Here is a 20,691-nt window from a genome sequence, read left to right as displayed (position 1 = left end):
AGTATAATTCTGTTCACATTAAGCCTTGTTGTCAGTGGATTCCTAAGGTAGCAATGTTTTATAAATTTAGAAACTTAAATTGGTTTTAAGTTTCAGCTTTTCCCCCCAAGCAGATTGCAACTTGAGGTAAATTAAAAAGTTAACCCCCCAAAAATAAAGCCAATTATACCAAATATGCAATCATATGAGAATATCAAAAAGTATCCAGGTAAGGAAAGTTTTCAGGTCAAACTTAAAGGATTTGGAATCAAGACTGAGTTCAGCTCTTCAAACATGAGGCAAATTAATTCTCCAGAACTATTTCCATATCTGAAAAATCAAGGCAATGGCATCCCTGTTGCCTTGAGGATCAAGTGAATCACATACGAAATGATTAATCAGATTTCTTTTGAAAACCTTACAGGCAGCAGAGCATGGCTTTAGTGTTCAAATTCTAGCCATTTACTACCTGGATTACTTGGAGCAAGTCACTGTCTTCATACGCAAAAATGGAGATGTTATAATACCTTGGTGAACTGTCAGAATCTGGTAGGAAAAAAGTCGTAAAATTTTTCGTACTCTATACGGTTATGTTCCAAAGTAGATTAGGTATTAAAAAGCTCCTTTTGTCTCCCTTTCTCTGGGAGAAAAGTTAAGAATTCATTTTTTGACAAACTTTAGTGTCATTTCATACCAGCAATTTTATTTACACAATAAGAACATACAGGTATCGTCAGAGATCATCTCTACATTTCAGATCTTGACTCAGTTTAAGGGCCAACAAAGGAAGGCTTTTCTCTTTCCGTTGTTTCTTGCCTCTGTTTTTTGTTGTACAAAGTGTGTAGTACTAGCAAGTGCATTACCATAGCATGTCTTTAATTTTCAATTTGAAATCTGATGTGCTGGAGAAAAGTGCATCGTAAGTTTTTGTTTTTGTTTTTTTTCCCCTTACAAATTCAAAGGACTAGAATAATGATAGTCATCTGGAAAAAGTAAATCATGAATGGCTATAATTTTGAAACTGATGCTTAATGATGGCAGTGATTTTTAAGTGTGGTAACAAACGTTTTGGGAGCATGTATCCTCTGTCAAGATGGTACTAGTAACAGATTCAAAGTAGTACCATATCGTATCAGACTGATGTGGGGGTTTTTATGTTTGACATCAGTTGGTGAGCCTGTTGTTCCTTAGTAAATTGATGCCATAAGCTAAAGTTAACATATTCATATTTTCCCTGCCAATAGTCCTTCATAAATACCTGGTCATAAACTGAAAAAAAAGTAATATCTGCAATATAAATGTGTTGTCTATTAGAGACGGGGCTAGATGTCTTAAGGATTTCTAAGTACATCTTAAAATTTATAATATAGTCGTTCATACCAAGAATCATCTGGGGAATTTTAACAAAATATGTATATGTTCTAAACCTCATCACTACCCCATAAATGCAGCTTAGGTCTGTAAGTCTGAAGGAGTATGTGTATCTATCTGGGTGTTGTTTTATTTTTTTTTTTTGAGACGGAGTTTCGCTCTTGTTGCCAAGGCTGGAGTGCAATGGCACGATCTTAGCTCACCACAACCTCCACCTCCCAGGGTCAAGCAATTCTCCTGCCTCACCCTCCCGAGTAGCTGGGATTACAGGCATGCGCCACCACGCCCGGCCAATTTTGTATTTTTAGTAGAGACGGGGTTTCTCCATGTTGGTCAAGCTGGTCTCCAACTCCCAACCTCAGGTGATCCACCTGCCTCGGCCTCCCAAAGTGCTGGGATTACAGGCGTGTGCCACCACGCCCAGCCTTGGGTGTTTTTCTTTCAGCTCCTCCAGTACTTTCATACTATTCTAATAAATATATTTTGTTGGTATGAAGCTATGAAGCAAAAGTAGCTATTACCAATGCATACATACAGTACACTGGTTTTAAGTTCCACCTCAAAGTGAATCTTAGAGCCTGGTGTAAGTGCTCCACTTTAGAGATGTACCTTAATTACTACTGTATTTGCAAATTAAGGGAAATTTAGGTCATCATTTGATTTTCTGAAATCTAAAAGGAACTGACCATCATTACCAAGTCTTTCTAGATAATCAAGGGTAGATGGCTGTTTTTAATGTAGGAATTAATGTAGGCATTCCTGCTTTCAGGTTTAAGTATGAATCAAAGCATATTTTAATTTGCTAGTGCAAATGGACCCAGAATTGGAAGGGCTATGTAACTACACAGTATGCACACCACAGCCATGTCAGTGTCACAGATCCTCTTGTGCATTCAGCTTTCTTAAAAACACATCAAAGGCTGCAAAGAAGCTCAGAAAAAACTAAATTGAAGGACAGGTGGAATACAATGACTCTATGTGAGGAACTTGCCAACTCACATCTTTCAAAGCCAGATCAGCTTATATAGTACATGCATTATAGTCATATGAAATGTTGTCTTGGTGCTTTCTTCTTGGAGGACTATGGCAGCAGCTTTAAGACTACTAACAAAGATTATTACACAGGTCATCTTATCCACAGGCAAACTGCTTTGCACAACTAGAACATTAACAGTTGTTTTTAAGTTAAGTTCAGATGAAACTGTCACAAGACAGACTTGATGTATTTTATATATACTGGGAAACTTTAGAAACAGCCATTTATTATTTGGATTAAATGTGTGATGTGTTCTGCAATTTGGAATACACTTTTCAGTTTATAGCCAGTCTCCACATGAGCAGATTCATACCATTGCAATACACAGGAGTTCATAAATAAGATTCTACTCAGGTAGGCAGTAACTAGCAAGTTTTGAGTCAACAAAGTCTCAGTATTACATAGTTCTCTTCACCAAAGATGAGTCTCCCGGATTTCAGCAATAATTTGACTGGCTCCTTGTAATGCCTGCATTAAAGGAAAAAAAATTTTAAATGCTTATTATAAAGTTATGAAATTAATCTGAATTACGCAGGGTAATTTTTCCAATATATATGTGGTAGGTTTATAACTAACCAGTTTATACTAACCAATATCTTCTCTGGAATTAGAATCTAATCAAGTACCGGCCAGGCGCAGTGGCTCATGCCTGTAATCCCAGCACTTTGGGAGGTCGAGGCGGGCGGATCATGAGGTCAGGAGTTAGAGACTATCCTGGCTAACATGGTGAAACCCCGTCTCTACTAAAAATACAAAAAATTAGCTGGGTGTGGTGGTGGGCGCCTGTAGTCCCAGCTACTCGGGAGGCTGAGGCAGGAGAATGGCGTGAACCTGGGAGGCGGCGCTTGCAGTGAGCCGAGATTGTGCCACTGCACTCCAGCCTGGGCGACAGAGCCAGACTCCCACTCAAAAAAAAAAAAAAAAAAAAAAAAAGATTCTTATCAAGTACCAACAGGAAACAAGCCTAGCTAGAATATAAAGACTATACATATCCAAGAATCAAACTGCATTTAAAACTATTTCTATGTTTCTATCTACTACCCAAGTATAAAAAATCAAAAGGTCCACAATACCTTTAGCATATCAGCTGCTTCTTTCCTGCGCTGTGCCATGTCCTCAGATTCTGTCAGAAGATCATCCAATAAGGATGATTTATACAGCTGGCCTACTAGCTCACTCTGAAGAGTGTCTTTCACATGATTAACCAAAAAATGCATTACTGCCTTTGGCACACTGCAAAACACAACCAAATTATGGAATTTTAGCCAAAATTCTACTTTTAACAATTTGGGCTTAGATGCTAACCTCATGAAATAAAGTTAAGTAAGAACACTACTACTTTGGATATTTCATTAATGGCATAATCGCCCTTTAGATTTTTGCTTAACTGTAATTAAACATTAAGAAAAGCAGTTCTCGGCCAGGCGCAGTGGCTCATGCCTGTAATCCCAGCACTCTGGGAGGCTGACGCGGGTGGACTGCTTGAGGCCAGGAGTTTGACAGCAGCCTGGCCAACATGGTGAAACACCGTCTGCACTAAAAATAAAAAATTAGCTGAGTGTGGTGGCACATGCCTGTGATCCCAGCTACTCGGGAGGCTGAGATACGAGAATCACTTGAACCCAGGAGGTGGAGATTGCAGTGAGCCAAGAACGCGCCACTGCACTCCAGCCTGGGCAACAGAGTGAGACTGTGTCTCAAAAAAAAAAACAAAAGCAACAATTCTTGATACTTTACCTTCTTTTCATCATCTTTATTTCAAAACTCTTCAATAAGCATTTATTCATAATAGCCAAGAAGTGAGAAAAATCCAAACATCAGCTGATGAATGCTTAAACACAGTATATCTACATAATCTAGTATTATTCACACAAAAGATATGTCACTTAATGACACGGATATGCTTTGAGAAATGCATTATTAGGTGATTTCATTACATGCACAGCACAGAGTGTACTTACACAAACGTAGATGGTATAGCCTATGACACGCCTAAGCTATATGGGATAGCCTATTGCTCCAGGCTGCAAACATGTACAGCATGTTACTGTACTGAATAGGGAACTGTAACACAATAGTATTTGTGTATCTAAACATAGGAAATGTACAGCAAAAACATGGTATCATAATCTAACGGGAACACATTCAAATACGTGGTCTGTTGACTAAAATGTTATGTGGTGCGTGACTATACTGATTCATACTACAGTATGGATGAGGCTTAAAAACATTAAGTGAGCCGGGTGCAGTGGCTCACGCCTATAATCCCAGCACTTTGGGAGGCCAAGACAGGTAGATCACCTGACGTCAGGAGTTCGAGACCAGCCTGGCCAACATGGTGAAACCCGTCTCTACTAAAAATACAAAAATTAGCTGGGCATGGTGGTGCACACCTGTTATCCCAGCTACTCAGGAGGCTGAGGCAGGAGAATCGCTTGAACCCAGAAGGCAGAGGTTGAAGTGGGCCAAGACTGCGCCACTGCACCCCAGCCTGGGCGACAAAGCGAGACTCCATCTCAAAAACACCTTCTGCAGAGGATGGGGGCAAGGAAGGAAACAAATGGAATTTTTTTCTTCAGGCCCACAGTGTAAAACACTAGGAACTGTTATTTCTACTACAAGCTACGGGTTTAAAAAGTCTACAAGCAAAAAAGATAAATGGTTCTACAGACAAAAATCATTTATTTCAATATGAAGTATTAGACTGTTTATTACTCTGTGCAGTAAAATTCATCTTAGCTGCTGACAGATTACCAAAAACTGGATGCAGAATATTTTCTAATAGATCACTTCACACAACTAAATGTATATTCTCCCTATTACTGCATGAAATGACATACCAGGCAACATGAAGGAGAAGATGCAGTAGGGACTAGACACATGAAAAAACATTCTGAACGAGAAAAAATACACATATTTCCTAGTAAAAGACATTCGTTTTGATACTTTGGAAAACCAAGTTAAATTAAAAAGGCAAGTCAGTGTTACTAGCCAAAATAATTAATGAAACTACTAAATTAAAATTTAGGAAAAAGATTTTCTTAAATGACTCAAAATGTGGCAGCCAGATAGAACAAAAGAATCTCTCATTTTTAATAGCTTTTTCTAGCTGATACATGAGGTCCTAGTCATTCTATGTTAACAAAATGGGTCTTGCTACAAGTTACCCAAGGACTATCAGAAAATCCACTTGATGATTTAGAATAAAAACCTAAAATTGTAAAAATACATGTATTTTTCAAAACAGATCACAGAATCATCCAGAAGTATTAAAGTCCGTCATTTATATTAAGTAATACTAACCTGTCTTGAATATTCTTTCTGACAATGAGAAAATATGATTTAATGAGTCGTTCAATAACCTCACAATCTCGCTGTTCCCGAGCAGATAGTTTTCGTGCAACAGGAACTGGCTAAATAGGGATGAGGGGGAAAAAATATTACTTTTGTGACACTAAAATGGCAGCTTTAACATCTGAAAGTTATGTAAGTTTTTGAGACTTTTAGTTCTTTCTGTCTAATCGTTTTCCTACTAACTTGGTCACCTACCTTATTACCTAAACCAAATTGTCATGGCTTACCACATCTAGCAGGTTCACGGCATGACCTTTTTGTGGACTGGCTGGCATAATTGGAATGGGTTTTGATTTTTCTTCTGCTAATAACTCTTCAGCTTTTGAAGTTTTCAGCATTCCTCTCCAGTTGCCTGTGGTTGGTTCTTGAACACCATCTCCAACCCCACCACCTCCAGATGCAACCTGAAAAAACATGTTCCAAAACATACCAACCACATCATATCTGACCTTAACTAAAACAAAGTTCATTTTATTTGACAGTAGTCAATATACATCCAGTACCCATCTGAAGTTTATTCAGACAGATAATGAGGTCAGAAGGAGACACTAGGTAGCATGTATAACTGGAACCCTGACCTATCTAAATAATAAAGAAGTTCTGCTCTAAGTTGTTTGCAAGGCATCAACCAACTTATGTTCTATTTAATTCCTTTTTTCTTTATCATTCGCTAACTTTTCAAAATCGTTCCTCTTCTCCCACCCTTCAAACACTAAATTGTAGGAAAAGTATATGCTGCCCTTAAAAACAAAACTACTCGTTAAAAGCACAAAGAACTGCTATTCAGTTTAATTTCTTAAGTAATCATTAACACTGTTAAACTCTAAAAGTTCCATGAACTTACGTCTCTGAACTTAAGAGTTTATATGTTTCTCAATTTACATTTCTAATAGTCAACAAAAATGCCATAAGGTATAAGTAAGAACTCTTTAACAAAAAGCAAGACTACATTTGCTATTCTTAGGCTGACAGTCACTGTGAGTTGTTTCAAATGCGGAATGTGACAAACAACAGAAGTCCCCTCAACCTCTGTACTCTTAAGGATTTGCTGAAAGAAATCTAGTGCTACCATTAATCACAAGTGCTTTTGTACCTTGTTTTCTAGAAAATGTATTAGTCTTGACTTCTAAAAGTCAAAAATGACTTTATAATGGAAAAACAATTCATCAACATTTAAGAGGGTTTTTTTTAGGTATTCTTTAAGATCTTACAATCTAAAAATGGATTATATAAGTTTAATAGAGGATTATGGCAGTTAGAAAAATGGTAGTTTGAGGTATCATTCTGAATCAAAATATTTGCTAAAATCTGTCTTTAGTATGTCAGTTAAGGTGAACTACATTTAAATATAAGTAGTATATTTATGTTACACATTAACTTAAAAATGAGTAATTAGATTTTTAAATGTTTGTTAACTATACATGAATGACATACCAAATGAAATCTTAAGGAGAGAGAGCACATTCAGTGTGACGTCATGAATGAAATAAAACTTGTGCAGTGATTTAGATGGTTTGATTAATATCTGAGCACAGTGGGCTGAGAGAAGATAAGACATTTATAAACCTTTATTTGAAGTTCAGAACTTTAAATCTGGATAATTAAGGAAAGGAGCTAAATGGCAGAAAATCTTGAAATAGCGATGAGTCTGAATAATTTATACATTATTTAATTTTCCTCTAAAATGGTTATCAAGAATTGAAAACAGTCTCAAACTCTCACAGTCCCCATTTGTTTTTTTAATTTGCTTAAGCTTCTGAAGCATATGTGAAGCTATATATAGGGTAACAAGTGCAAACTAACTGGAAGCATAAGAAAGAAGCATTAGATCTATTAGTACTGAACAGATCTCAAGATCTTTAAAGAGGAAAGGAAATGTCCAAAAATACAATTCCATCTCTGAAATCTAGGAAATCTCTGAATTTCCTACCAAAATACTAAATTTAAAACTATTCTTGAAGGTAACAAAACAGTGAGAAAGCCTATTATTGTTACTAATTAAAACAACGTTTAATGCCATCTTCCACAGGTTAGATAAAAGGAACATTAAGAACATAACACAGACAAGAGATAGATACCACTACACAAACAGGTTCTTTAATGGTGGTATAGACAGTGTTTCAGTGAGAACCAAAGGTACCAACATTTCCATTCTGAAGCAAGAGACTCACATTTTTAGTTTCTCTTCTGCTGTCCTGAATTAACTGTTAAAAGATATGTTAAAACATGCAATTTAACAAGCAAAATTTAAATACCAATGGGTTGAAATTCAAAAAGTGCAGGATAATTTCCTCTTTAAATTACTTTTTCTGTGTGCATCTTCTATATTGCAAGCAAAAGCATGTCAACAATATAAACTATGCATTGCATTGTTATATAATTTTAAAATATATATTAGACTAAAGTGATCTGACCTTAGCACAGTATCCCATATTAATATTCTTCTATTCAGTGTATTGTTTCCAGAAGATTATGTTGTACCAGAGAACAAGGCATGCAGGCTTAGATTAAGAATCAGAACAGACCTTGCCATCAGCCTCAGCAGAAGCAGCGGGGGAGGGCTCCTGGGAGGCAGGTGCCAAAGCACTTGGAACTTTAGAAGACTAAAGGCAAAAAATCCAGGGGGGAAAAAAAATCAAGGATGCAAAAATGCATTCAGGAACATTCTATAAATGAATTTTTCCCTTCTGTAATGAAATCGTAAAATAACATGAAAGATGAAAATAATCATGGGAGATTGTTTATTCTGCCTTATTTCCTTCACCATTGTCACCTTTGTTAAAAGTTTCCTTCAGATGAATACATAAGAAAAATCCAAATCCAAAAGCTTCATTTTTATTTTTGGTATTTAATAAGATTCTTTTCTGGCAAAGAATTCAAGGTAAAAGATTTTTATACACACTTTAGTATTACAACTATTTTAATTATTACTAGTAATTAAAACCTCTGTTCTGTGCATACTGTTTTTTCCAAGAAACCCTCTTATTATAATAAAATCTTGAGTCATTTCAGCTATGTGCAAAGTTGATAAAGTCACTGACTGAATTTTTTTAAAAAGCTTGATGCTTAAATGCTTAAATAAATGCTTAAATCTACTTTTAAGCATTTATGTCAGTGAATTCAAAATACTATTATCTTTAAATCACTCAAAACCCATTTTAAACTTGTATGCCTTTACTCAGTTAGTTCCAATGGAGTGTTAAAGGGAGGAAAAGAAGAAAAAATTACTCCTAGGACTGAGTAATATTCTGAGCTCATCAATCTATCTTTAGGTATTGGGAATATGCATTAAAAACATTTTTTTACCTTGTCTCGTGATACAGCTGAAGGTAATTCTCTGGCTAGCCTGTTTCTCCTTTGTTCCTAAGAAACACAAGCAAAACAAAAGTGATTATCCAAGTATTGAGATATATGCCTACTAAAAAATGTTCATGTTAATTGAAAAGTGTGGAGTAACTTACAGATACATCCTCTCACTGTTGGGACTCATGCCATAATTATCATATTTTAAAATAAATAAGAAATCATTTAACCCAAAGCTTCTTAATCTTTTTTTTTTCTGCCCACACACCTGAAGGATACAATACACTGTCAGTAACAGTGGCTCCCTGTACTGGGGATTCTCAAATGAGGGGCAACAGACTGCCATCTTCTCCCCCTTTCCCACTAAGAAACAGTGATGTAAACTGTCCTCACATAAATGTGGAACGTGGTAAGCCTTCAACATAACCATGTGGAATTTGAAGTCCAGAGATCACAGAAAACTCCGCAAAGCCTTTAAAAGTCACTCTAACCTGAACACCTTTGTGTTAAACTCAAACAACTCCCCTCATAAAACCGTATCTTGAAGAAGTATCTGTGGTTGAGGTTATCCTATAAAAATGTTCCATTTCTTCCTCCAGGAAATAGTGTTGACAACTGCTAGTCCTTTCTGTAACCTGGCTAATTTAACACACTGATCAATTGCCTACTGTTCTAATTTGCTAATATTATCAAAGTAACTTGTACAAAGCTAAAGAAACTGACAAATTCAAATTAGAATGTCCCGAGCATCTGCTATATCCAAGCACCAAGATAGGTAAAAGATTATGAAAATATTGGCCGGGCACAGTGCCTCATGCTTGTAATCCCAGCACTTTGGGAGGCCAAGGTGGGCAGATCACTTGAGGGCAGTTCAAGACCAGCCTGGCCAAAATGGTGAAACCCTGTCTCTACTAAAAATATAAAAATTAGCCAGGCATGGTGCCGCACACCTGTAATCCCAGCTACTCAGGAGGCTGCGGCAGGAGAACTGCTTGAACCCAGGAGGCAGAGGTTGCAGTGAGCAGAGCTCATGCCACTGCACTCCAGCCTGGGCGACAGAGTGAGACTCTGTCTTAAAAAAAAAAAAAAAAAAAAAAGATTATGAAGATATAGAAATCTGTAGATGTTAATTAATGATGGATCTCTCACAGGCAGCATCAGATAAAGTAGAAACTATTTAGGTTAAAGTCACAATTGCTCCTAAGTAGGAAGTATTTCATGAACACAGTCCAACTTGCAAAAAAATATAAGTTAAAGCCTCACAATGATTTTGTTTTTGTTTTTTGTTGAAATGGAGTCTCGCTCTGTCGCCCAGGCTGGAGTGCAGTGGTGTGATCTTGGCTCACTGCAACCTCCGCCTCCTGGATTCAATGGATTCTCCCTGCTGCAGCCTCCCTACTAGCTGGGATTACAGGCATCCACCACCCCCGGCTAATTTTTCTATTTTTAGTAGAGACAGTTTTGCCACGTTGGCCAGGCTAGACTTGAACTCCTGACCTCAGGTGATCAGCCTGCCTCGGCCTACCAAAGTGCTGGGATTACAGGCATGAGCCACCGCACACAGCCCACAGTGATGTTTCATGTGTAATAATTTTTTTTGACAGAAATTTGACCCAATTTTATTTTTTCATGGGCGGGTATTCAGTAATAAAAAATAACAGATAATAAAAGTATAGATATTAACAATCTTCAAAATAAAAAATTAGCATGATAAAATGTACATTTTGAACAGGGATACAAAGCAAAAGGCCACGGTATCTAGAATTCTCACCCTAGTCTGTTACTAACCAGTTATGATCTGAGCTGCTCCTGGACCCCAGCAGATGTGGAGTACCTGCTTTGCTAACTGGACAGCTTACCAACTATTTTGAAGCCCTAGTGTCCTAATCTGTTAATGACATGATCTGCCCTCAGGGTATGGTAAAGATTAAATGAAAATATCCACATAAAGTTCTCTGGCACAGTCATTAAAACCAGAAACCTATTCATTTGTAGAAAAATACTAATCTGAAATCATATCACATATGACCTTGTCAGTGTAACAGAACTACCGCAAACACAAGTTTTTCATGATGTTAGTTTCAATGTAAAAAAAACTAAATCCTTTAAGTGTCTACATGCTAATTTTTAACATAACTGTGATCTGGCCTACTTTCTGAGTGTTTTGAAGTGCCTACTCATGTATGCATTTTGGAATTTTTTCTGATAACAGGAATCACCCCCAGCTATGTAACCAAAAATTAGTTCCCTATACCTGTGTTAAGAAGGTGCTTGCTTCCTATAATAGTGCCCTGCAAAATAAGCACCAAAGGAATAACTGCTATCTGTAAGCCTCAAGCTCCCCAGTTTTTTTTTAAGATGGAGTTTCGCCCTTGTTGCCCAGGCTGGAGTGCAATGGCGCGATCTCAGCTCACTGCAACCTCCACCTCCTGGGTTCAAGTTGATTCTCCTGCCTCAGCCTCCCTAGTAGCTCAGATTACAGGCACCTGCCACCAAGCCCGGCTAATTTTTTGTATTTTTAGTAGAGACGGGGTTTCACCATGTTGGCCAGGCTGGTCTCAAACTCCTGATGTCAGGTGATCCACCTGCCTTGACCTCCCAAATTGCTGGGATTACAGGCATGAGCCACCACGTCTGGCCACCCCATCTGTTTTAACCAGAGTTGAAGTCAATAACACAGGATCCCTTCCAGCTTCTGAATTGCATGTTTACAATTTTCTCACCATGGATATGCAGAAGAGGAAATTTGGTATAGCAGGGGACTCAGGTCTTACTGAATTAGGGAGTAGCAGAAAAATGTACTATTTTTGGAGAAAAGCGGCAGAGAAAAAAAATGGCTTCTGGATAAATTGCTCTGTCCACCAGCCTTGGCTCCATCTGAGATCTTATTCAATTTGTTACATTAAAATCAAAAGGAAAGAAAAGATCCATGAAATGCAGCCACCCCAGTAGTGGTGAAAAAAGCACTCTGCTTTTCCAAATTTATGCTAAGTTGGTTAATTCTTGAGTGTTTCCTTCACAGCTTTCAAAGCCAAATGAAAAGAATTTTAAATACTTTGTTGTACACACTTCCCCTGTATAAACTATAAGTTACCAAAATAGAGCCAGTCACACCAAATCAATGAATTTTCAGATTCTTTCTGAATTTCAATTTCATAAGCAGAAAGTAATAATGCCTGCAGGTGGTTTTGAGAATTAAGAAAACAATGTAATCCCCTCAGCATATTTCCTGACATGCAGCAGGCACTAATGTGGCACATGTCTATTTTATAGTTACTCCATGCTAAATAAGTTTGATATAACTGAGTTACAACAGATTTTTCTACCTGTGAAAAAGCATTTAAGAATTATATTTACCTCTATATTATTGTTCATTAGCCCACAAGCATCAGCAAAGTCTGGATGTTTTGTGTTGATATAAGCCAGTTCAATTGCCACTAAGTTATGGACCTAGAAAAAAAGTAAGTTAGGCGATATACAAAAATACATCAACCATATTTTACTTTGAGAAATTTATATATAAAACTTATGAAACAGACAATACCGAAAAAGTACAGGAAACTTATGCCTAAATTACTTGATAATTATATTCCAACTGATAAATCTTATGCCAAACAATAATTTACTCTAGCTTTAAAATTATTTACATTTCAGCATCTAAAACTGCATTTCTAAGAGGGAAAAATAACATTAAAGTAACTACAAGTATTTTACTCTTAGGGAAAAATAGTCATCTACCTAATGCAAATCTAAATTCCAACACTTTATGCAACTTTGCTATTAAAACTTCAGATCATCCACTATTCCCTGTCACTTTTTTAGTTCATTTTCAACAATAAGAAAATAAGTTCGTAACAAGGCATAAGTTAAAGATGTTAACTTATTTGGGTAAAGGATACATCTAAGGACCTGAGGTAGTGACTGATTAGCCTTAACTATAAAGCACCTAGTTAAAATATTATATGTAGTTCAAAATCCTAAGAGGAAAATAAAAAAGAAAAGTTAAAATTAATTTATCCAGCCCTCTACAGAATTGCTAAGTCTTTTTGTTTGTTTGTTTGTTTGAGACGGAGTTTCGCTCTCATTGCCCAGGCTGGAGTGCAATGGCGCGATCTCGGCTCACCGCAGCCTCCACCTCCCAGGTTCAAGTGATTCTCCTGCCTGCCTCAGCCTCCCCAGTAGCTGGGATTACAGGCATGCACCACCACGCCCGGCTAATTTTGTATTTTTAGTAGAGAGGGGGTTTCTCCATGTTGGTCAGGCTGGTCTCAAACTTCCGACCTCAAGTGATCCACCCGCCTCGACTTCCCAAAGTGTTGGGATTACAGGTGTGAGCCACCACACCACTGAGTCTTACAGAGAGAATAAACTTGAGCCCTTTATTATGTGCTGTCCTAACAAATCTCAGGTATCAGAACAGCACTTATCAGTCCAGAACTGGGTAAAAAGGGTCTATTAAAATGAAGGTCCAATGATTCTGGGCTAAATTCAGTCTTAGACATCAGAATCTGAGGGCTATCCTTGCTAAAGAAACAACCAAGCAGCAGCACTTACATTCCAAGGATGGTTTTGTACTCTTAGTAAACCTCCACGGGGTTCACCATCCTGAGCCAAGGACCCAAATGCACTTTTAGTGATCAGAAAGAAAACAAAAAACAAAAAACCCAGCCAACAATTAGAGGCATGAGGGCAATTTTAAATGCTTATCCCATATTTCTGCCAATTTCAGCATTTTTATTTGTGTGGATAGCAGCAACCCACAGAATAGTAGCAAGCAACTACGATATTATAGTTATTAGGTCATAACAAGCAAACTGCAGAAGTGGCCAGATTACTCCGATGTACCTCAAAGTAACAGTGTGCTATAAATGCTCAGTTTACTGAGGCTAAAGATGGAACTAATTTTCTCTTAAGATCAGTGGTACTAAATAATACAGCAAAGCTATTCACACCCCTCAATCATAAATCTATTTTCAAGAAAACCCATGCCTGCAGGCTAACAATGATTAAAATATGAAGAAAAAATGCACTTTATACCAGAATTATTAAAAATTTTCCTTTAAAATGAGACTGAAACTCAACTTGTTTTTCCTCCCAATACACTGGAAAACATTATGCCTACACTCTAAAGTAACCATATAATGCTTATTAAAAAGCAGCCAAGCAAAAATTTAAACTTTTACTAATAGTAATTACAATGATCTATGCTATAGTAGCTCACCATTTCATTTGTAACAGGCAACCTTTTACGAAGAAGACAAGTCACCACTTCAACTATGGCATCATGAAGTTTAGGAAATCGTAACAATTCCTACAAATGGTAGATGAAAGAAAAACGTGTTTGTTTTTTGTTTTTTTTTTAAGTCATAGTCTCACTAAGCCATCCTCCCACCTTAGCCTCCCAAGTAGCTGAGACTACATGTAGAAGCCACCATGCCAGGCTAACAGTCATTTTCTTTTACTTAATGATCACAGAAATACTGAATTCAATTTGGAGACTACATTTAAGAATCCTATTTCAAATCACTTTCAGGTAAGGGAACTACAGATTTTACCTTGTATCCCATCTTATACATTTCCTTCCACCCAGTGAAACCACCACTTCATGTCCTTTTCTAGTTCATGTGAAACCTGTTACATTTCTCTCCGTTACCTGTGTACTGTAATTGCTACAGTGCTGAATGATCCTTTGCATTTCCTCATGAACCAGTTCCACACAGCGGAGGCTGGGCTCTTCTAGACGTTTGATTTGCCGCTTCACCAGTAACTCAAATGAAACCTCAGGCACAAATAAAGCAGGACGAGGACCCTGAGAAAATAAAACTTAGAACTCTTATTATATATGTAATTTCAGTTCTTCCCAAGGGTTAAGAAAGTCACATTTTTGGTACTTTTCATGAAAAATGCTTTTTAATTTCAAATATGAGAGCAAAATAAACTGTATAATTAAATTTAAAAAGACACAGTATATGGGTAAGAAAAACTTTAACCTCATTTTTTTTTACAGTCTAAAAAGCTAAACATACTCACAGTAGCATTTCTAATGGCAGTCAAAATGTCAATAGTGTTAAGGCCACCAAGTGGATCAACAGATTCTAAGGTTCGCCCAAAAGTCTCATGGAAAATATAACAAATTCTAGCACCACCGCATCTGAAAGGCAATGAAGTATATGGTTTCTGGCATTGCAAAAAGGGAAAGAAGATACAAGTTAGAAGTCTTTCTAGAAGCTTTAAGCTCATCTTATTTTCTGAGAAAGCCTCAGATAAACAATTTCATTCATTCCCATTACCATGTGTTCTAACTCAGCTCATTATGAACTAGTTTCTCTAATTTTTTTAAAGGGGAAAAGGAATCATTAAATTATATATATGTAAATATAATAAATGTTCTGACATAAATCAACAGTTAACTAAGAATTGCTAAGCACCTTTTCTCTGCCCTAGTTTTCCTTGAGGACAGGAAACAGTGCCTTATATTTATTTCCATTGATTCACAATCTGAAGTAGAGGTTGGCAAACTTTTTCCATAAAGGGTCACATAGTATTTTAGGCTTTTCAGGCCATACAGTCTCTGCTGCAACTACTCAACTCTACCATTAAGCACATAAGCAGCCATAGACAATATGTAAATAAATAAGTATAGCTTGTTAGCCAGGCTTGTCTCAAACTCCTGACCTCAAGTGATCCGCCCGCCTTGACCTCCCAAAGTGCTGGGATCACAGGCGTGAGCCACCCGTGCCCAGCCCTACTCTTGCTTTAGACAAATTAAATCTCTCTTTTTTTGTTGTTTTGTTTCTTTTTGAGACGGAGTCTCGCTGTGTCGCCCAGGCTGGAGTGCAGTGGTGCGCTCTTGGCTTACTGCAACCTCCGCCTCCTGGGTTCAAGCGATTCTCCTGCCTCAGCCTCCCAAGTAGCTGGGACTACAGGCATGTGCCACCATGCCCACCTAATTTTTGTATTTTTAGTAGAGACGGGGTTTCACCACGTTGGCCAGGATGGTCTTGATCTCTTGACCTCGTGATCTGCCCACCTCGGCCTCCCAAAGTGCTGAGATTACAGGCATGAGCCACCACGCCCAGCCTTAGACAAATTAAATCTCTTGATATAGTTACTGAGCACCTTATGTTTCCTATCTTGTTTAATAACTAGAAACCCTGGTATTATCTTTTTTTAAATTCAAGTCCATCTGAATTCTACAAATACCTTTATAATGCCTCCCCAAATCATCCCTTCCTCTCTATTTTTACAATCACTATTGAGTACTTTTTTATACTAGCTCAGGCAAAAAGTACTAGTCTAATATTATGCTAACAGAAGTAAGCCAAGCACAAAAGGACAAATACTGAATGATTCAATTTATATGAAATATCTACAATAGGCAAATTCAGAGACAGAAAGTAAATTCGGCCAGGCACAGTGGCTCACACCTGTAATCCCAACACTTTGGAAGGCTGAGGTGGGCAGATCACCTGAGGTCAGGAGTTCAAGACTAGCCTGGCCAACATGGTGAAACCCAGTCTCTACTAAAAATGCAAACAAATACAAAAATTAGCCAGGTGTGGTGGTGGGCACCTGTAGTCCCAGCTACTCAGGAGGCTGAGGCAGGATGATTGCTTGAACCTGGGAGGCAGAGACTGGCCCAAACTGTGCCACTGCATTCCAGCCTCGGCAATAAAGTGAGGCTCTGTCTCAAAGTAATAAAGTAATTAATTAATTAAATTAGAGGTTACCAGGGCTGGAGGGAGGAGAGGGGAATGAGTAATTGCTTAATAGATAAGAATTTCGGCTGGGCGCGGTGGCTCATGCCTGTAATCCCAGCACTTTGGGAGGCCGAGGCAGGCGGATCACAAGGTCGGGAGTTTGAGACCAGCCTGGCCAGCATGGTGAAACTCCATCTCTACTAAAAATACAAAAAATTAGCCGGGCATAGTAGTGCGCGCCTGTAATCCCAGCTACTCGGGAGGCTGAAGCGGGAGAATCACTTGAACCCAGGAGGTGGAGTTTGCAGTGAGCCGAGATCACGCCACTACACTCCAGTTTGGGCAATAGAGTGAGACTGTCTCAAAAAAAGGGGGACTGGGCACAGTGGCTCATGCCTGTAATCCCAGCACTTTGGGAAGCCAGGGCAGGTGGATCACGTGTTCATGAGATCGAGACCATCCTGGCTAACACAGTGAAACCTCATCTCTAATAAAAATAAAAAATAAAAAATAATTAGCCGGGCGTGGTGGCACACGCCTGTAGTCCCAGCTACTCGGGAGGCTGAGGCAGGAGAATCACTTGAACTTGGGAGGCAGAGGTTGCAGTGAGCCGAGATCGCGCAACTGCACTCCAGCCTGGGCGACAGAGCAAGACAGAAAAAACTTCGTATCTACAGTCTTGTTCCTAGACACCCTTCCTGCCTTATCTCCTATTATGTCCCATCACTATACTTGCTGTTCTCCAAAAACATTATTCTTGCATTATTCTTTGCTGTTGCCAAGCCTAAAATGCCCTCTCATTACTGCCTTCTCAAATTCTATTCAGAGCCCAATTCAAATGCCTTCTTAAATGTGGAGTTCTCCCAAACCCTGAAATAAATGTAAATGGTCTCTCTTCAGTGTCTGAAACGCTTGATTAGGTGGACACAGATAATTGGTTTATTAACTGTTTATAAAGTGTGCATATACACTGTATGTACTTTTCTGAATATGAATTATATCTAACAATAAGAAGTATTTAAATAAAAGTTATACTTTTGCAGCCTAATCAAGCCCAGTATTACCTTGACCTACTTTACCCACTAAACTCTTCAAAGGCCCATTTGTGGTAATCTATTTTTCTCAATATGCCGTACATATAACCAATAATTAGTCTGATAAATACTCTCTTTACGGAGTTGACTCATATGAAGACCATCTTGGGCACACTAAAGTATACAGAACTACACATACACACACACACAAATTCACGTATAAATCTGAACAAGCTCTGTGGATTGTACCCATGTCCAATTTTCTCACTTTGTTATTGTACTATAGTTATGCAAGATGTCCAACAGTGGGGGAGATGGGGGAAAGGGTACACAGTGGAGGGTGCATGGGACCTCCCTGTACATCACCCTGCAACTTCCTGTGAGTCTATAATTATTTCAAAATAAAAAGGTGTTCTAATGAGGGTGTAGAGAAATGGATGTTCTTGCTGGTAGTAAAACAGTACAATATGCTAACAATATGCAATATGTAATGAAAGATTCTAAGGATGTTATATCCTTTAATCTAATAAACTTACTTCTACAAATTTATCCTCAGTGTTTACTTGGACACAAAGCCCCAAAGACAGATGCAGGTAGTCCATCACAGCTTATATGTGTATATAACAGAAAACAAACTATCCAGTAGTAGGAGACTGGCCTAACAAATGAGGGTATATCTAAAAAGTAAAATACTATGCAAATCTTCAGACTGATAATGTATGAGACAGAAAGTTATTTGTTACATGATTTGAGAAATGATTCCAAGATAGGTATAGCATCTGATTTTTAAAGACATGTAGTATAGGCATCTATGTGTTGTAGATGCATACAAAAATGCCTAGGTCAATGCCAAATTTTAGGAATTATCTCAGGTTGGTGAAATTAAGAGTGGTTTTTTTTTCCATTTTCAGAGATAGGGTCTCTTTTTTTAGCGCCATCTGCTTGCAGTGCTGCCTCTTGCTCCTCCCCACCACCACTGCTGCCCTGAGTCACTGCCTGCACAGCTCCAGCCGCCTGGCTTCTCATAGTAGCCACTGATATTTGGAGTTCTTACAACATGGCAGACATTGACAACCTGCCTAGCTAGGGTAGTTAAAAGAGGAGTGAATGCTCTCAAAAACCTGCAAGTTAAAGGTGCACAGATAGAAGCCAAATTCTATGAGGAAGTTCACGATCTTGAAAGGAAGTATGCTGTTCTCTATCAGCCTCTATTTGATAAGCAATCTGAGATTACTAATACAATTTATGAACCTACAGAGGAAGAATGTGAATGGAAACCAGATGAAGAAGATGAGATTTCAGAGGAGTTGAAAGAAAAGGCCAAGACTGAAGATGAGAAAAACGATGAAGAAAAAGAAGACCCCAAAGGAATTCCTGAATTTTGGTTACCTGTTTTTAAGAATGTTGACTTGCTCAGTGATATGCTTCAGAAACATGATGAACCTATTCTGAAGCATGTGAAAGATACCAAAGTGAAGTTCTCAGATGCTGGCCTGCCTATGAGTTTTGTCTTAGAATTTCAATTTGAACCCAGTAAATATTTTACAAATGAAGTGCTGACAAAGACATATAGGATGAGGTTAGAACCAGAACCAGATGATTCTGATCACTTTTCCTTTGATGGACAAGAAATTATGGGTTGTACAGGGGGCCAGATAGATTGGAAAAAAGGAAAGAATGTCATTTTGAAAACCATTAAGCAGCAGCAGAAACACTAGGGACATGGGACAATTCGTATTGTGACTAAAACAGTTTCCAATGACTCTTTCTTTAATTTTCTTGCCCCTCCTGAAGTTCCTGAGAGTGGAGATCTGGATGATGATGCTGAAGCTATCCTTGCTGCAGACTTCAAAATTGGTCACTTTTTACGTGAGCATACAATCCCAAGATCAGTGTTATAGTTTACTGGAGAAGCTACTGAAGATGATGATGATGAGTATGATGAAGAAGGTGAAGAAGCAGATGAGGAAGAGGACAAAGGAGATGAGGAAAATGATCCAGACTATGACCCGAAGAAGGATCAAAACCCAGCAGAGTGCAAGCAGCAGTGAAGCAGGATATATGTGGCCTTGAGGATAACCTGCACTGTCCTAGCCTAAACACAATTCTTACTTACTGCCTTATGTTTTTGTATTTTCTTGGTAGACTGGGTAATTTTTGTTTTAAAGGACAGGAAACTGATATTTTAAAGACCAATCTGTTCTACCTAGCATTTTCACTAGTTTTTCTGCCAGGTATGTTGAATGCACAAATTCTGTCACACATGTTCATTCGCTGCTACATAATTTGGTTCTTCTGGAATATTTATATAGCTCTTGGAGTACAGCTATGAAAATTAACAACTGTTAAAGGAAACACTTTTTTTTTTCGTAATTTTTTCCTTGAAGAACCAAAGTATTTTTTCAGCTGTTTGTTGAATAGGGTTAAGTCTGCTTGGATTAGCTGTGCCTTTCATTACTTTGTTACAGAAATGCAGGGACTTGTACTAAGACAATCCATCGTTTAAAAAAAAAAAAAAAACCGGCATGCCAGTCGCGGTGGCTCACGCCTGCAATCCTAGCACTTTGGGAGGCTGAGGCAGGCAGATCACCTGAGGTCAGGAGTTCAACACCAGCCTGACCAACATGGTGAAACCCCGTCTCTACTAAAACACAAAAATTAGCCAGGCATGATGGCGGGTGCCTGTAATCCCAGCTACTCAGGAGGCTGAGATGGGAGAATCACTTGAACCCGGGAGACGGTGGTTGCAGTGAGCTGAGATCGTGCCACTGCACTCCAACCTGGGTGGCTGAGCAAGACTCATCTGAAAGAAAAAAAAATTGGCAAGACAACTATATGGTTAAGAATTTAAGAACTTCCAGTATGACCACACCCAATAACTGTATTAGATTGTTAATGGATTATTGTGTTATAG

At 38.2% G+C, this 20,691-nt stretch overlaps 1 protein-coding gene and 1 pseudogene across 10 annotated transcripts in view; one reads left to right on the top strand and one right to left on the bottom strand.

The window, feature by feature from the left end:
- The window catches only part of DNM1L (dynamin 1 like), a 66,350-nt gene continuing 46,216 nt past the window's right edge, over positions 558 to 20,691 (bottom strand). For 4 of the 10 annotated variants that reach the window (NM_001278464.2, NM_001278466.2, NM_012062.5 and 1 more), the window contains 11 exons: positions 15,074 to 15,194; positions 14,697 to 14,852; positions 14,265 to 14,354; positions 12,401 to 12,493; positions 9,047 to 9,103; positions 8,266 to 8,343; positions 7,912 to 7,944; positions 5,968 to 6,144; positions 5,690 to 5,799; positions 3,460 to 3,619; positions 558 to 2,854 (listed from right to left, as the gene is read on the bottom strand). In NM_001278464.2, coding sequence (NP_001265393.1) covers positions 2,798 to 2,854; positions 3,460 to 3,619; positions 5,690 to 5,799; positions 5,968 to 6,144; positions 7,912 to 7,944; positions 8,266 to 8,343; positions 9,047 to 9,103; positions 12,401 to 12,493; positions 14,265 to 14,354; positions 14,697 to 14,852; positions 15,074 to 15,194 — 1,132 coding nt within the window. In that variant the 3' untranslated portion in view covers positions 558 to 2,797. The remainder of the gene's footprint in view (positions 2,855 to 3,459; positions 3,620 to 5,689; positions 5,800 to 5,967; positions 6,145 to 7,911; positions 7,945 to 8,265; positions 8,344 to 9,046; positions 9,104 to 12,400; positions 12,494 to 14,264; positions 14,355 to 14,696; positions 14,853 to 15,073; positions 15,195 to 20,691) is intronic. The other 6 variants (NM_001278465.2, NM_001278463.2, XM_011520543.4 and 3 more) reach the window with 3 other exon arrangements.
- Positions 18,702 to 19,803, top strand: LOC100420981 (nucleosome assembly protein 1 like 1 pseudogene; annotated as a pseudogene).

This window comes from Homo sapiens, chromosome 12, assembly GCF_000001405.40.
Source record: "Homo sapiens chromosome 12, GRCh38.p14 Primary Assembly".
Taxonomy (NCBI): domain Eukaryota; kingdom Metazoa; phylum Chordata; class Mammalia; order Primates; family Hominidae; genus Homo; species Homo sapiens.
Note: the sequence above shows the minus strand (reverse complement) of the source record. Positions and strands in the feature narration are given on the sequence as shown.